The sequence below is a fragment of the Homo sapiens genome, chromosome 3, assembly GCF_000001405.40.
Source record: "Homo sapiens chromosome 3, GRCh38.p14 Primary Assembly".
In the NCBI taxonomy this organism is placed as follows: Eukaryota; Metazoa; Chordata; class Mammalia; order Primates; family Hominidae; genus Homo; species Homo sapiens.
In genome coordinates, this window is record NC_000003.12 from 49743076 (window position 1) to 49761472 (window position 18397).

General features: G+C 43.0%; 1 protein-coding gene and 1 pseudogene across 5 annotated transcripts in view; one reads left to right on the plus strand and one right to left on the minus strand.

Moving 5' to 3' along the window:
- Positions 1–18397, minus strand: part of IP6K1 (inositol hexakisphosphate kinase 1) — a 62249-nt gene that overhangs the window by 18782 nt on the left and 25070 nt on the right. For 3 of the 5 annotated variants that reach the window (NM_153273.4, XM_047449323.1, NM_001242829.2), the window contains one exon: positions 4743–5093. The exons of 1 other annotated variant lie outside the window; for it this stretch is intronic. In NM_153273.4, coding sequence (NP_695005.1) covers positions 4743–4965 — 223 coding nt within the window. In that variant the 5' untranslated portion in view covers positions 4966–5093. Of the gene's footprint in view, positions 1–4742; positions 5094–5793; positions 6755–18397 lie in introns of those variants that run through there. One more of the 5 variants, XM_047449324.1, reaches the window with a different exon arrangement.
- COX6CP14 (cytochrome c oxidase subunit 6C pseudogene 14) lies at positions 15408–15581 on the plus strand (annotated as a pseudogene).

An 18397-nucleotide genomic window follows, 5' to 3' on the forward strand; every position in this document is an offset into this window, starting at 1 on the left:
AAATTAGCCAGGAATGGTGGCAGGCACCTGTAAGTCCCAGCTACTCAGGAGGCTGAGGTCCTTGAACCCAGGAGGTAGAGGTTGCAGTGAGCCAAGTTCATACCACTGCACTCTAGCCTAGGCAATGAAGCAAGACCCTATCTCAAAACAAAAACAAAAACAAAATACACACACACACACACACACACACACACACACACACACACTTACCTTTCAGCTGGGAGCAGTGGCTCACACCTGTGATCCCAGCTACTTGGGAGGCTGAGGTATCATGCCTCATGGAGGAGGATCACTTGAGACCAGGAGTTCAAGACTAGCCCAGGCAACATAGTGAGGTCCGATCTCTTAAATCTCAGCACTATGAGAGGCCAAGGTGGGAGGATTCCTTGAGGCTAGGAGTTCAAAACTAGCCTGGGTAACAGAGCAAGACCCTGTCTCTACAAAAAACTTTAAAAATTACCTAGTTGTAGTGGCGTGCCTATAGTCCCAGCTACTCGGGGGGCTGAGGTGGGAGGATCACTTGAGCCATAGTTTTTTTTTTTTGTTTTTTTTTTTTTTTTGAGACAAGAGTTTCACTCTTGTTGCCCAGGCTGGAATGCAATGGCGTGGTCTCTGCTCACTGCAACCTCTGCCTCCCGGGTTCAAGTGATTCTTCTGCCTCAGCCTCCCAAGTAACTGGGATTATAGGCACCTGCCAGCACACCCAACTAAGTTTTGTATTTTTAGTAGAGACAGGGTTTCACCATGTTGGCGAGGCTGGTCTCGAACTCCTGACCTCAGGTGATCCGCCTGCCTCGGCCTCCCAAAGTGCTAGGATTATAGGCATGAGCCACCATGCCCGGCGGAGCCATGGTTTCGAGGCTGCAGTGAGGTATGATTGCACCACTGCACAATGCGCCACAATTATTACTGTGTTGTAATGTCTAATGGTGTGTGTAATGCCTAATGGTGTGTGCTGAATGGTATTACTGTGTTGTCTGCCTAATGGTGACTTCTATTCCCATCATTCCTTCTATATTTATTAATCAAAATAAATCAGAATTCTGGCCGGGCACGGTGGCTCACTCCTGTAATCCCAGCACTTTGGGAGGCCGAGGCAGGTGGATCACAAGGTCAGGAGATTGAGACCATCCTGGCTAACATGGTGAAACCCTGTCTCTACTAAAAATACAAAAGATTAGCCAGGCTTGGTGGCGGGAGCCTGTAGTCCCAGCTACTCGGGAGGCTGAGGCAGAAGAATGGCGTGAACCCGGGGGGCAGAGCTTGCAGTGAGGCGAGACTGCGCCACTGCACTCCAACCTGGACAACAGAGCGAGACTCCGTCTCAAAAAAAAAAAAAAAAAAAAAAAAAAAGAAATTAGAATTCTATAAGGAAGAGTTGTCCCTTCATATCCATGTATTTATCAGTATAGACTTGTGGATATTTTGTCATTTAAATTCTTCTAGATTGGGCCCTTCAATTCCTTTAAAGTTAGCTCTTCGTACTTCTGACATGATTTTTGACCACTTCTTTACTATCTGTCACCATAAGATGTTCTAGGCTTGTCTTATAATTTTCCTGCCCGAACTCAGGAACCAACCATTTCACCAAGGAGCTCTGTTTCTTTTTATTGTAAGAATGGTATTTAGAAAACTCAGGATTTGGTTACTAGATATACTGATTGCTACTGAAGTATCACTGCTTTTAGGCCCTTTCAGCACATGGAGCTAAGAAATACATGTATGATTACTAGCCCACACACATACACACATCTAATTGCTGCTATCAGCACAGGTGTTTAAGCTCAATTAAGCTAAGAAAAAGTGTCAATAATATTTCATATCTTGGCAGGTTTAAAAACAAATTTTCATTTATTTAGTATGACCAGCTACAATCATCAACTGTTAGTGCTTGCAGTACTAAATGTGAAGTTCAAGGCTTCTGTACATTTATGCAAATAAGCTTTGCCTCATTCATTTATCAAGTATTTACTGACCATCTACTAGATGCCAGGCCCTGAACTCATAAGTGTAAAAGACAAAAAAAAAAGTCCATACCTTCAAGGAGCTTCCATACTAATGTGAAAAACAAACACATAGACAAAAATACAGATTGTGATAAGTGCTATGAAGAAACTAAGTAAGGTTCTATCACTGAAAATATGGTTTCCAGAGCAGAATATAATATAGGATGATCAGGGAAGAAGTGTCTGGGGAGACCTAATAAACTAAAGGTTGGAGGAGCAGGTGTGGATAAGGGTACTGGAAAGAACATTCCAAGCATAAGTAAAATCCCTGAGGTTAATTAAAATAAAAATGAAATTTAAAAAGCTTGAGATGTCCTAAAAACTGGTTCACCTCTTTCTGCCAATTAAGAAACAACCCAGGCCAGTCATGGTGGCTCACACCTATAATCCCAACACTTTGGGAGGCCAAGGCAGGTAGGTCACCTGAGTTGAGTTTGAGACCAGCCTGGCCAATATGGCAAAACCCCGTCTCTACTAAAAATACAAAAATTAGCCAGGCATGGTGGCACATGACTGTAATCCCAGCATTTTGGGAGGCCAAGGCAGGCAAATCACCTAAAGTCAGGAGTTCGAAAGCAGCTTGCCCAACATGGTGAAACCCCATCTCTACTAAAAATACAAAATTTAGTTAGGCGTGGTGGCACATGCCTGTAATCCCAGCTACTTGGGAGGCTGAGGCAGAAGAATCGCTTGAACACGGAGGTGGAGATTGCAGTGAGCCGAGATCGTGCCACTGCACTCCAGCCTGGGCGACAGAGCAAGACTCTGTCTCAAAAAAAAAAAAAAAAAAAGACAGAAACAACCCAATTCAAAATGGTCAAAGGACTTGAATAGACATTTCTTTAAGAAGGTATACCAACAGACAATAACAAAAAAATCCTCTGCATCATTCGTTAGACATTAGGAAAAAGCAAGTCAAAGCCACAGATACCACACACATCCACTAGGATGGCTACAAAAAGAAAAGAAAAGGAGTGTTGGTAAGGATGTGGAGAAATAGGGACCCTTGTACATTGCTGGTAAGAAGGCAAAGTGGTGCAGCCACTGTGGGAAACAGTTTGGCAGTTCCTCCGAAAGGTAAACAAAGAACTTCCACATGATCTGACAATTCCACCCCTAGGCATATACCCAAAAGAATTAAAAGCAGTGACTCATATGGACATTTGTAAGACAATGTTCACAGCAGCATTATTCGCAATAGCCAAAAGGTGGAAACAACCCAGGTGTCCATCAACAGATGAATGAATAAACAAAATGTGGTATACACTTACAATTAAATATTATTCAGCCATAAAAAAGAATGAAGTGGGCCAGGCACGGTGGCTCACGCTTGTAATCCTAGCACTTTGGGAGGCCGAGGCAGGCGGATCACAAGGTCAGGAGATCAAGGCCATCCTGGCCAACATGGTGAAACCCTGTCTCTACTAAAAATACAAAAAATAGCTGGGCGTGGTGGCACATGTCTGTAATCCCAGCTACTTGGGAGGCTGAGGCAGGAGAATCGCTTCGCTTGAACCCGGGAGTTGGAGGTTGCAGTAAACCAAGATCGCGCCACTGCACTCTAGCCTGGCAACAGAGAGAAACTCTCAAAAAAAAAAAAAAAGTGCTAGGATTACAGATGTGAGCCACTGTGCCCGGCCAAGAATGGAGTTTTAATACACACTATGACATGAACGAACCTTGTAAACATTAAGCTAAATGAACCAAGCCAGACACAAAAGGTCAAAAATTGTAATGATTTCACTTTTATGAAATATCTACAATAGGCAAATCTGTAGAGACAGAAAGTAAACAAGAGGTTACCAGGGGATCAGATGATGGAAGAATGGGGAGTTATTATTTAATAGGTACCGAGTTTGTTTCAGATGATGAAAAATTCAGGAAATGGACAGTGGCTATACAACATTGTGAATGTGTTAATGCCACTAAATTATACACTTTAAAATGGTGAATGTTATGTTATGTACATTTTACCAAAATTTTTTTTAAAAAGTTAAGGAAACAAAAAGTCAATTCTATAGCACTGGTTTTTCTAAATTGAAACTCTCCTAAGTAAAGGACAGTGTTAACCTGACTGAAATCATACAACTTAAAGTTATAAAGCAGAATGTAAAAAAAAAACTTAGACACAATGAGCAATCATAAAAATTTATAAACACTGACAAAGATCAGATTTTAAAATAAAGTTAGTTAATTCTGGTATAATTAATATTCATGAGGTTCTTTTCTATAAAGTTGACTTATATTTTAAAATAAATTATTTTTCCTTCAAATATCAGGACTTCCAGGCCCCAGAAAGTCCCTGCATTTCTTACCAACAATTCTTTGCCCCAGCACATATAGACACAGGATACACACAGCACCACTGCCAGCTATCTAACCGCTTTAACCTGGAAGTATCCATTCCGCCTCCGGGACGAGAGAAATGTTCCCTCTTCTCTCCCAGACTAGTGTCACAGCAAATGGGAAAATTCACTGACAACAGCATGCTCTTTTCCACCAATGGAACTTAATGCTATGACTTTTTCTCAGCTTTACCTATTAATAAATTCAATTTTCAAGATCTAAAGACCTTGCTGATGCTTTCAGCCTCTAATTTTATCTAACAAAGTGACTTCGTGCTTTGAGAAAAAAGACCTACAATGATATATCATGGCAAACAAACCAAGAAAAAACTGTGGCAAGGGGTCTATAAGCCCAAGGCTGCTGCTTTCATTAAACTGGCCAGTGACTGACCTTTGTATTCAGGGGTGAACTCCTTCATTTCGGGAGGGAGGGACTCGTAAAAGCGCTGTTCCCGGGAGATGAGGGGCTTGCACACAGTGTGATCGTCGTAACGCATCATGCTGCTGTGTCCGCCTACTTGGTGGATGAAGGGCTCCAGGAGGACTCCCCGGTCTCCAGCCCGACTTGCATTCTTGCCATACTGCCCCACTTCCATGGTTTGACAAACACACATTGCGTTGGGGGCCAGTTGCACACTGAGGGCAGAGGATGCAGCACATGGGCCACAAAAGGAGAGCTACATAGAAGGTCCTGGCCAGGTGAAAGCCAATGGTCAGATTCTATTCAGCTTATTATTCTGTCCTACAGAAAAGAAGAGAGGAAGAAGGAATCAAAACACTGGGTGAGTCACAATTTCCCTGGAGCTCCATGAGTGAGAGCAGGGACTCTTGTTTTGTTCCCTACTATGTGTATCCCTAGCACGTACAATACTACGTGGCACATGAAAGGCAGTTGGTTAAATTTTTGCTGAATGATGCAACCTTGGCCTCTTCCATCTATCTTGTGCACAGAAGCCCACATTCTCTGCCTTTCCTAGTTCCCACCTCCCTTCTGAGTTATCTAAAGGATTTTATTTTAGAGCTACAGCACATTACAACCATCAGGAAAGCACCTATCCCGGTTTACTTCACACCCAAAGATGAGATCAGAAAAAAACAGAAGGCAATGGGAATTTGTTCTGTTCAGACTCCTTAGGATATCCAGTACTGGTAAGGGTCTCTCCTTCACTCAGAGGAAGGGTTTCTGTCTGAGGAATTAGGTCACATGAGATTCCCAAATTCTCCACTGAAGGTGCCAAGGACCAGGCAGGCCATTCATTGCTGAGCTGTAGGACAGTGGTCCCCAAATTTTTTGGCAGCAGGAACCAGTTTCATGGAAGACAACTTTTCCACAGAACGGGTGTGGGGGCGATGGTTTCAGCATGATTGAGGCTGTACATTTATTGTACATTGTATTTCTATTACTACATTGTAATATACAATAAAATAATTATACAACTCACCATAATGTAGAATCCTTGGGAGCTCTAAGATTGTTTTCCTGCAACTAGACGGTCCCATCTTGGGGTGATGGAAGACAGTGACAGATCATCAGGCATTAGTTTCTCATAAGGAGCACTCAACCTAGATCCCTCACATGTGCAGTTCACAATAGGGTTCATGCTCCTATGAGAATCTAATGCCACCGCTGGTCTGACAGGAGGCAGAGCTCCGGCGGTAATGCAAGCAAGGGGAGCAGCTGTAAATACAGATGAAGCTTTGCTTGCTTGCTCGCCTACCACTCACCTCCTGCTGTGAGGCCCAGTTCCTAACAGGTCATGGACCAGTACCCAGGGACCCCTGCTATAGGATCATTAAGGTTTTGCTTTTCCCAAAGGAATTCAGGCTTCAGATTTCTTCTACTTTAAATCTATGGTTGTCAATTTATGACCATTCCCTTTCTGTCTGACTCTATACCAACCAGTGGGACAAGGAAAAGCTCCTTGTACTCAAACTCCCTCTTTATAATGTCAATTTTCTCTCAAAATATTTAAAGTAGTTGGCAAATTTCTTAACACTGAGTGTATTTTTAAATTAGGAATGTAGTCAGCAAGAATACATCAGAAAGATTAAGACCAAAAAAGAAAAAGTATTAGTAGAGCAGGAATATGGTCCCATATGTAAGAGACAAACCATCGGGTTTTTTGTTGTTGTTGTTTTTCCTGGATCTTGTAATTATGGACAAAATGGGGTACAAAATACCACTGCTGAGCTGTGATGGCACTACTGCACTCCAGCCTGGGTGACAGAGCAAGACCCTGTCTCAAAAAAGACAAAAAGAAAGAAAAAACTACTGCAAAACTGCAAAATCTTAACCCAAAGCTGCCCAGGCAGCTAGCTATGTTTTATTTCACTGCTATCACCAAAATCAATTATTCTGTACTCCCAGTCCCCAGATTGCACTATTTTAATGCACATACACTTCTTTTTTTTTTTTTTTTTTGCCTAGTTATCCTGAATGAAGTCTAGGAATACTACCTGGGACAAGGCAATACTGCCTTCAGGTCAAGGCAACTCTGCCCCAGGTAGTATTCCTAGACTCCATTCTCTCCAAACCTGAGTATAGTGCACACATCTATGACTCCTAAGGTACCCTATGCCAGCTCTACCATATCAATATACCACTGTGCTGTCATCTATTAACTCACTGTCATCACCACCAAACCATTGTCTCTTATTTCCACAGCAAAAGTCCAAGGCAGTTTCCACCACGTAGTAAATACTTAAAAATAGAGTTGCTGGATTGTGGAGGGCAGGTCAGGGTCTCTGGAGGTGGTCATTGCAGCTGTGGATCCTGTTCAGTACTGTAGATTGGCTTCTGCCCTGGCCCCGGTCAGGCTGAAGGAGGCCTATCTCTGGCTGTGCTTCTCCCTGGGAATGCTTCTGACTATGGACACAAGGAGAGTGCTAAATTTTCTAGCCTGAGTCATTGGGTGGCTGGGAAAAGATAGGGGTCACAGTGCCAGGTGACCCAGAAGAATGGTGCAGGAGGAGAGTCAAGGAAATAGGCCGGGTGCAGTGGTTCACGCCTATAATCCCAGCACTTTGGGAGGCCGAGGCGGACGGATCACCTGAGGTCAGGAGTTCAAGACCAGCCTGGCCAACATGGCGAAACCCCGTCTCTTCTAAAAATACAAAAAAAAAGGTAGCTGGGCATGGTGGCACATGCCTGTAATCTCAGCTACTTGGGAAGCTGAGGCACAAGAATCACTTGAACCCAGAAGGCAGAGGTTTCAGTGAGCCGAGATTGCGCCACTGCACTCCAGCCTGGGCGACAGAGCGGGACTCCTCAAAAAAGAAAAAAAAAAAAATTGAAATAGCCCTTCCCCTGACTCTGAGAGATCTGTGGCAACTTCTGCAGCTTCCACAGGACTGAGGGCAGAGTCCACTCTTCAGTCTATCTAGACATTTGGTATTTGTTTCCATATGATGTCAACATGAAGTCATGGCATTGTTTTTGTGTTTGAAATAGTCTCCTAAGAGTAAATATACCACATATCTGTAACTCTGTTTTGATGGTACTTTCTTAATAACCCTGAAATCTGAAATAGTGGAAGTACCCCAGAACCCTCTCAAGCTCTGTGAAGCCTTGCTTTACAAGGTGTGGATGGAGCCTCATAAGTCACTTAACTTCTCCAAGTCTCCTCACACTCCTAACCCTGCAGGATTTGCAGATGCAGGTAAAGGGCTTGGGCTTGCCTCGCCTAGTGCCCATCCCTGGAAATAGCAACGGCTCTGACTCCTTTTTTTTTTGTTGTTGTTGTTGTTGTTGAGATGGAGTCTCACTGTCGCTAGGCTGGAGTGCAGTGGCGCGATCTCGGCTCACTGCAACCTCTGCCTCCAGGGTTCAAGCGATTCTCGTGCCTCAGCCTCAGCCTCCTGAGTAACTGGGATTACAGGTGTATGCCACCACACCCAGCTAATTTTTGTATTTTTAGTGGAGACGGGGTTTCACCATGTTGGCCAAGATGGTCTCAATCTCTTGACCTCATGATCCACCCACCTCAGCCTCCCACAGTGCTGGGATTACAGGCATGAGCCACCATGCCCAACCCTGACTTTTTTTTTTATCAACCAGAGGTTACTCCTGAAGTCTGGTGTCCACAGAGGCTACTGTGAAAACTACTGTCTGAGAAGGCCGTAGATGATGATGATGTTGGTTGCCTGCATAACGTCTTTCTCTGCTACTTCATTGCTAATAGAGCCCCAATCTTATTCAGGTAGCCAACTGCAAAGTATCTGCTCCCCAAGAGGTTATGGGGTTCCATTGCTCTGCTATGAGTTTATGCACCTCTCAGCTACAATAGAGACTCTGTCCTTTGTTTGCTTTGTAATACTTTAGTTACATATTTTAAGATAATTATTGCGTAAAATGCAAAGAACGCTATGTATGAAAAGAACTTGCTGAGATTCTGATTTTTTTCTCACTGGTGAATTGCAACAAATGGAAAGAAATTTTTACTGCAAAAATATTAGTTACAATAGTTAGGTTGACTTTCTGGTTATAATAACAAACTCCTTGAACATACCATTGAATTCCAAAAGGAATTATGTCTCCATTCAAGTAAAAAGAAGTTTCTCATGTTAATGAAATGTAATTTTTTGTTGTTGTTTTCCTTTTTAGAGTTGGGGGTCTGTCGTCCAGGCTGGAGTACAATGATATGGTCATGGCTCACTGCAGCCTCTAACTCCTGGGATCAAGGGATCCTTTCACCTCAGCCTCCAAAATAGCTGGGACTACAAGTATATTCACCATGCCCGGCTAACTTAAAAAAATTTTTTTTTTTTAAAGACAGGGTTGGCCGGGTGCAGTGCCTCACGCCTGTAATCCCAGCACTTTGGGAAGCCAAAGCGGGTGGATCACAAGGTCAGGAGATTGAGACCATCCTGGCTAACACAGTGAAACCCCGTCTCTACTAAAAATACAAAAAAATTAGACGGGTGTGGTGGCGGGCGCCTGTAGTCCCAGCTACTCGGGAGGCTGAGGCAGGAGAATGGCGTGGAACCTGGGAGGCAGAGCTTGCAGTGAGCCGAGATCGCGCCACTGCACTCCAGCCTGGGCAACAGAGCAAGACTCCATCTCAAAAAAAAAAAACCCAAGGAACCATTTCACTTTTGCATGTGTGTGTGTGTGTGTGTGAGTTTCGCTCTTGTTGCTCAGGCTGGAGTGGCAATGGTGCAATCTCGGCTCACCTCAATCTCCACTTCCCAGGTTCAAGTGATTCTCCTACCGTAGAGACGGGGTTTCTCATGTTGGCCAGACTGGTCTTTAACTCCCGACCTCAGGTGATCTGCCCGCCTAGACCTCCCAAAGTGCTGGGGATTACAGGCGTGAGCCACTGCGCCTAGCCTTTTTTTTTTTTTTTGAGACAGAGTCTCACTTCGTCACCCAGGCTGGAGTGCAGTGGTGCGATCTTGGCTTACTGCAACCTCCACCTCCTGGGTTCAAGCAATTCCCATGCCTCAGCCTCCCAAGTAGGTGGGGACTACAAGCGCACCCCACCATGCCCAGCTAATTTTATTTTTGTATTTTTACTAGAGACGGGGTTTTGTCATGTTGGCCAGGCTGGTCTGAAACTTCTGACCTCAAGATGACCTGCCTGCCTCAGCCTCCCAAAGTGCTGGGATTACAGGCATGAGCCACTATGCCTGGCCGCCATTTCACTTTTTGCCATGAGACTGTCAAAAAATAAAAAGTCCACAAGCTCTGCATTCCTTCCCACCCCCATTTTCTCTCTGCCTTCACTTCCTACCCTTGTCTCCCCACTGCTTATTATCCCACTCCAGCCATACTGGCCTTCATGATGTTCCTCAAACACATCAGGCATATATATATTCCCTAGCTTCTTTGCACTAGTCATTCCCTCTGCCTAAACATTCTTCCCCCAGATAACCACATGGCCAACTCCCTCACCTCCTTCAAAAGTCTTTGATCAAAATGTCTCTTTCTCAATGAAAGGTCTATCCTACCCTCCCTAGTTTAAAATACACCACCACCTGCACCCTCCACCCCCTTTAATTGGCTCTTCTTTTTCTTTTCTTCATTAAGGCATTTATCCCCTTCTGGCATATTACATACTTTACTTACTGATAATGTCTACTGTTTATTATTTATGATGATGATGTCAGTTATATGAGTATCCTAAGTGCCCTGAGTAGTACCTGGCATATAGTAACTACACAATAAATCTGGCTGAATAAATATATGTATGTTTATGATATACATAACAGATGTATATAGTAGGGTAAATATATAACATATGAAAAAGTGTTTATAAAGGGACAAGTTCTTTTTGTTTTAAAATATTAGGGTTATAAACCAAAAAAGTTTACATTTCTAACCTAGACCTAGCAAAAACCAGAACAAACGGGTCATGTGGCTTTATGAAAAACAAAATATGTTGGCCACATGACAGAATTCGAAGTCAGCAAATAAAAAGAACATAAAATTGTGTTTTAACTCTTTTAAGATTTGATATATGAAGGAAAAATAGGTTTAAATGCACCCAAATGAGAATAGCCACAATAACAAGGACAAAATCAAAGCAAAATACAGAAGGAAAAAGACAGCCTATGAGGAGGAGAATTAGACTGTTTTTATCAATGATACAAAAGAGATTAAAAAGGGGGAAAAAAATCAGGCAAACACATAAATAATCTCAACTATAAAAGATTAATCAGGCCAGCTGTGGTAGTCATGCCTGTAATCCTAACACTTTGGGTGGCCAAGGCTGGAGGATCACTTGAGCCCAGGAGTTTGAGACCAGCATAGGCAACATGGCAAAACTTCACTTTTACCAAAAAAAAAAAAATTACAAAAATTAGCCAGGCGTGGTGGTGTACACCTATAGTCCCAGCTACTCAGGAGACTGAGGTGGGAGGATGGCTTGAGCCCAGGAGGTGGAGGTTGCAATCAGCTGAAATCATGCCACAGCACTCCAGCCTGGGTGACAGATTCAGATCTTGTCTCAGGGGAAAAAAAAAAAAGATGAATCAGGCCATGTATGGTGGCTCACACCTGTCATCCTAACACTTTGGAAGGCCAAGGTGGAAGGACTGCTTGAGGCCAGGAGTTCAAGACCAGTCTGGGCAACATAGCAAGATGCTGTCTCAATGACAATAATAATGATAGTAAGGAGAAGAACCAGACTAAAGAACTTGTTGAACCAAATTTAGGAGAAATCATATGAGTTTTTTTTTGTGTGTGTTTATTTTAATGCAACAACACATCAAGCCTAGAAAGTGACAATGAATAAAAAACCTTGGCAGGGAAAAAGAGACTGCAATCAGATATAGTGGCGAACAAGGTCAGGACTACTTTAAGAGCTAGGAAGGCACTGTCTCTACAGCAATTGCAAGACAATACCTGGTCACCAGATTCTTTAGTTGGGCAGGCACAGACACACACTAAAAATGCAGATCAGCAGGTATATACTCTAAGAAGTTCAGTTAGAATTCCAAATTATTTGGCCAACATATTTTTACAACCTCAGATTAACCACTTGGGTTTGATATGCAATCTTTTTTTTTTTTTTGAGACAGGGTCTCACACTGTTGTCCAGACTAGATTGCAGTGGCACAACACAGTTCACTACATCACTACAGCCTCGACCTCCTGGGCTCAAGTGATCCTCCCATATCATCAGCCTTCCAAGTAGTTGAAAACACAGGTGTGTGCCACCAAGCCTGGCTTTTTTTTTTTTTTTTTTTTTGTAGAGACAGGGTTTCACCATGTTGCCCAGGCTGGTCTCGAACTCCCGAGCTCAAGATATCCACTTGTCTCGGCCTCCCAAAGTGCTGGGATTACAAGCATGAGCCACCATGCCCAGCCACATTTGCAATGTTTTTATAGAATAAAGTGAAGCACCTTTAGTGCCTTCACATTTCACAGGTATATTTGCAGATTTCCTCAACATTTCATTAAAAATTAGTTTATAAATCCAGTATTTCTATTACCTCTTCTAAAATTAAATATATCCACTTAAGCACTATAGGTACCATGACAAAGTATCATACCCTTTTTAAAATTCATAAAATTTGTGTAATTAAAGTTAAACTTGGTAAGTCAGGAATGCTAAGTAAAATTCTGGCAACAGTATTTTTGGTTTTGGCAAATGTGTCTTTAATTTGTTTTTTACTGTATGATACAATCCAAAGGAAAAATAATAAAACTAATTGAACTGAAAAGAGCTGAAGAGAAAATAAACTGATAAGTCACTCTAACAGAAAAGAACAACACATAAAACTTGGGCTATACAGCTCTGGATTTTATGAAAACTAATTTCTAATTAATTTCAGAAATAAAAAAGCATTGACATGGACTTTGACAGGAAAAGATACCAAAACACCTTCAAGAATCACAGACAAAAACACTATAGCAGAAAACCAACATGAAAACACGTTTGTCCTCTAAATCTTACAACCAAGGGAATCCAATGATTTCTTAAATTCAAGCCCATTCTTCCCTTTGTATATGAGACTGTAGACACTGATATAGATTAGGCATAGTTATGAGGGTGAGAGAGAACAATCCTCCTGTACCGTGAGGAGAAGGGAAACATAGGGAGTGTTCTTCATGTAAGTAGGGCTGTCAACCCTACTTGGAACCTACCCTTCCAAGCTACTAGGGACTGGCACATCCCTCAGAAACCAGAAATGTGTATAGATGTCTAGAGTAATCTGGGAGAAGAAAGAGAGGGAATCTATGTTGCCATTTGTCTCTAAAGAAGAGATGAAAGATTGTTTAGATTCCTGGGTCCTATCACAGGAGCTAGGAAACCATGGCATCCTGAGGCCACCTGGCTAAGAACAAACAGGGAACAAGGAAAAAAGGAAACTTAGCAGGGGACCTGAGATGTGCCAGCCCATCAACGAACAGCAAGAACAGAATTAATTTAGGTCAAGGAGAGAATCTAGAGTCCACTGAACCTCTTTCCTGTTTTTACTGGATTCCTAAAGATTAGAAATATGTGCTTCCCTAAATACATTTTTTAGTAAAGACCCTTTTGACATCAGCTGTGTCAAATGTACTAAGAAGTGGGGGAAAGGAGATATGTGAAGAATTTTCAGAACTGACGTTCAAAGTGATACAGGGGAAATCAAAATGAAATGCACAAAAAGAAAGGAGAAGGGCCGGGCGCAGTGGCTCATGCCTGTAATCCTAGCACTTTGGGAGGCCAAGGCGGGTGGATCACCTGAGGTCAGGAGTTCGAGACCAGTCTGACCAACATGGAGAAACCCTGTCTCTACTAATACAAAAAATTAGCCAGGCATGGTGGTGGGTGCCTATAATCCCGCTACTTGGGAGGCTGAGGCAGGAGAATCACTTGAACCCAGAAGGCAGAGGTTTAGGTGAGCCGAGATCACGCCATTGCACTCCAGCGCCTGGGCAACAAGGGCAAAACTCCATCTCAAAAAAAAAAAAAAAAAAAAAAAAGAAAAAAGAAAGAAAGGAGAAACAAAGGTGCTGAAACATTCTCTGCTCATGATTATGCTTTAATAAGAAGCCACTGGATTACCTGTGCTGTGACAAAATAGTACATGCGAGCCATCCCTGAATCAGCTAAGTCTCACCTAGCACATTTACAACTGAATGAAAATATGGTCAAATCTAGAAAGCACACATGTAGAAGGATGGGAGAAATGGTTCTAAAAGGAACACAAAACCACAGAGCACTTAAAATTAAACTGTCTAAACTGCTCACATGTGAAATGATGAGCCTCCTGGACTTATTTCCTATCACCAATCCCACTGAAGACCAAAGCTGAAGAGAGAAGCTTCCATACAACTGAAAGATAGATGCAAAAGCCTGGTCTCACACATTAGGTTTCTGGCATGAATGGTAAACTCTGACTCCTTTTCTTCACCACTATCCTACTGTAGCTTAACTGAAAACGTTAAGCACAGTGGGGACAAGTTGACAGGACTAAGGCAGAGGTAAACAAGCTCTAAGGTTACTGGGAGAATGGTGTACACACCTCCCTACTGGGGAATTACTCCTCACCATGTTATCTTTTGAAAAACCTCTACTATCTCTGCTAGGCAGGGTGGCTCACACCTGTAATCTTAGCACTTTGGGAGGCTGAGATGTGTGGATCGCCTGAGCTCAGGAGTTTGAGACCAGCCTGGGCAACATGGCAAAATACTGTCTCTACAAAAAAAAAATTAGCCAGGCTTGGTGGCTCATGCCTATAGTCCCAGCTACTTGAGGGGCTGAGACAGGAGGATTGCTTGAGCCTGGAAGGCGGAGGTTGCAGTGAGCCAAGATTGCGCCACTACACTCCAGCCTGGGTAACAAAGTGAGTCCCTGTCTCAAAAATAAAAATAAAAAATAAAAAAACTGCTCTCTCTCCATTTCAGAACACAAATAAAAGCTCTTGTCACTCACGCTAATTTCAATTATCTATAACACTGGTTTTATACATGGAGTTCATCTTAGGTACAAATCTACTACCTTATATTAGCAATATTCACATGTGTCCTATTATTAAAAAAGGGAAAACATGGCAATAAAATTTCATACATCTAGGAAAGGTGAAGCCAAAGCTCTGGTCACAGCATTGACCTTTTTAGATTATCTGGGGGCTTTATTTAGGACCCCCTATCAAAAATGGTTACTAGTGGCCAGGCGCAGTGGCTTACGCCTGCAATCCCAGCACTTTGGGAGGCCGAGGCAGGTGGATCACGAGGTCAGGAGATCAAGACCATCCTGGCTAATACAGTGAAACCCCGTCTCTACTAAAAGTACAAAAAAATTAGCCAGGCATGGTGGCGGGCGCCTGTAGTCAGTCCCAGCTACTCGACAGGCTGAAGCAGGAGAATCGCTTGAGCCTGGGAGGCGGAGGTTGCAGTGAGCTGAGATCGCACCACTACACTCCAGCCTGGGGTGACAGAACAAGACTCCATCTCAAAAAAAAAAAAAAAAAAAAAAGGTTACTAGCTTTAAACAAGAAAACTCTCCAGAGTAAGGAATTATACAACTATGAAATAGCTGCTGGCCATCCACTTCTCCATCAGCCAGGAAGAACACTGGTAATGAGGCTGACATACCTATCAAGGACAGTAACTACCACAGCACGTCTGCAGTTTCATATTGGTGGAGCATTCGTTGTATCCCTGGGAGCCGTAGTTCTCTGTAAATTTGCTGTGGCTGAACCAAGAAAGAAGGCATACCCAGATTTCTACAGAAATTATGACTTCATGAAAGAATTTTAGATGAGAAAAGCTAGTATCTTTCAGAGTGCAAAGTAATTTTGGAATATAAGGAGTTTCTTTGGCCAGGCGTAATGGCTCATGCCTGTAATCCCAACACTTTGGGAGGTGAGGCAGGCAGATCACCTGAGGTCAGGAGTTTGAGATCAGTCTGACCAACATGGTGAAACCTCATCTCTACTAAAAATACAAATATAGCAGGTGTGGTGGCGCATGTCTGTAATCCCAGCTACTCTGGGAGGCTGAGACAGGAGAATCGCTTGAACCCAGGAGGCGGAGGTTACAGTGAGCCAAGATCCAGCCTGGATGACAGAGCGAGACTCTGTCTCAAAAAAAAAAAATACCCAACAGTTTCTTTGGGTTGAATTTCCTATTAGTTTTGTCACTAACCTGTGTTCCTGAACTATGAAACATGAATATGTGGGCTAGCAAATAGTTTATCTTGATAAATAAACAATTAAAAAAAAAATACCTTCTATCTTTCTATGGTATCTCAATGACACCACAAAACTGTTAGGACTCCAAAGCAGTTTTAAATCACTGAATTCTGAGAGGCACTAAAAATCAGATATGGCTAAAATCTGGAGGACTCTTCCTTTGGGGGTGAAATCATTTAAATGCCTTGATGCTTATACTACTCTGAAGATTATCTGAAAATATAGTCAAAGATCAAATTCTTCAGACACAGACACAGATGTATTCAGCTGCAGTTAGAGACTAAGGCAAAACGTCCACCACAAAATACAACTCCAATGAGTTTTATTCTTTTGAGATAATGTGCTGTTACTCCCACATATGGCCAGGGACCAGCTCCAGTTCTCTCCTCCAAGGACCAAGTTCCTAGCATCCTGTGTTCCTATTGGACCTCCATCTCAAGGGCCAAACAGCATATTTCTTATATAGTTAGACATTTAGAAAACAGTGTAAGGAGATTTCAGGGCACAAACTCTACAGAAACTCCCTCTTTCAGACACCACACATCCTGGAGGCAACATAATGACCATCTATTTGAACATCCATCATGTAGATAAAGATTTTATTAGAGTCTTAGACTAGGTGGACAAAACAACAACAACAACAACAAAAAACGACTTTATTAAAGGTTACCCAGAAGCAGATCAGCAACATGGAAATTAGTAGACTATGTGAAGTAAATACGTGAAGAAAACCTATAACAAGGGGTGAACAACCAGCATAATGCCTCACAAAATGCCATCAAGTTTGACTGCTTCAAGCAGATTAGATTCCAGCTGTCTTCCAACCCTCTAGTGAAATACCAGAATTATTGTTTTTTCTTTCTTTCGAGACAGGGTCTCACTCTGTCACCCAGGATGGAATGCAGTGGCACGATCACGGGTTACTACAACTTGAATTCTTGGGCTCAGGCGATCCTTCCCACCTCAGCTTCCTGAGTGGCTGGGACTACAGGCCACCCAGCTATTTTCCCTTCCTTTTTTTTGTAGAGATGAGGTCTCACTTTATTGCCCACGCTGGTCTCCATCTCCCAGCTTCAAGTGATCCTCCTGCCTTGGCCTCCCAAAGTGCTGCAATTATAGGCCTGAACCACCATGCCCAGCCTAATTATTACTGTTAAGTACTTTAAATATTAGAAAAGCACTTCTGTCCACCTCATAGACAACCCATAGTTTCAGAGAGATGGGGACTAACCTTCACCTACGCAAACCCATCAACAACTTCCCAACTTAGAAAAGCAGACAGGTGGAGGCTGGACGCAGTGGCTCAAGCCTGTAATTCCAACACTTTGGGAGGCCGAGGTGGGCAGATCACTTGAGGTCAGGAGTTCAAGAACAGTCTGGCCAACACGGTGAAACCCCGTCTTTACTAAAAATACAAAAATTAGTCGGGCATGGTGGCAGGCACCTGTAATCCCAGCTACTCGTGAGGCTGAGGCAGGAGAATCACTTGAACCCGGGAGGCAGAGGTTGCAGTGAGCCGAGATAGTGCCACTGCACTCCAGCCTGGGCAACAGAGTGAGACTTCGTCTCAAAAAAAAAAAAAAAAAAAAAAGTGAAAAGCAAAAAGCGGAGAGGTGGTTCCAAAGATACATCATTCCTTAAGAGCAGTTTCCAAATTTCTCCAAATTTCTCCACTCCCTCAACTTCCTTTCCTGACTCTCATGTGACATCAGGAATTAAACAGCCTGAACATGCAGAGCTCTCAGGATTCTGGGAGTCAGAAACCATGTGAAAAAATCAATGCCACAATTAACAAATTATGTACCCTTCAATGTGCCAATTCACCTATTTTCCCTGTCAACAGATTTGAGATTACTTATCTACTTCTCAGAGTGAGGTAATATATGAAAAAACACTTTTCAAATATATGCTATACTGATTCAGCTAAAGCAATGCTAACGTTTTAAAGTCTAAAAGTATTGCAAAAAACCTGTAAAACTGGCCGGACGTGGTGGCTCACACCTGTAATCCCAGCACTTTGGGAGGCCGAGGCGAATGGATCACGAGGTCAAGAGATCGAGACCATCCTGGCCAACACGGTGAAACCCTGTCTCTACTAAAAATACAAAAAATTAGCTGGGCATGGTGGTGGGCGCCTGTAGTCCCAGCTACTCGGGAGGCCGAGGCAGGAGAATCACTTGAACCCGGGAGGTGGAGGGTGCAGTGAGCGGAGATCGTGCCACTGCACTCCAGCCTGGCGACAGAGTGAAACTCCATCTCCAAAAGAAAAAACCTATAAAGTTAATGACCTGGCCGGGCGTGGTGGCTCACTCCTGTAATCCCAGCACTTTGGGAGGCCGAGGCGGGCGGATCACGAGGTCAGGAGATCAAGACCATGGTGAAACCCCATCTCTACTAAAAATACAAAAAATTAGCCGG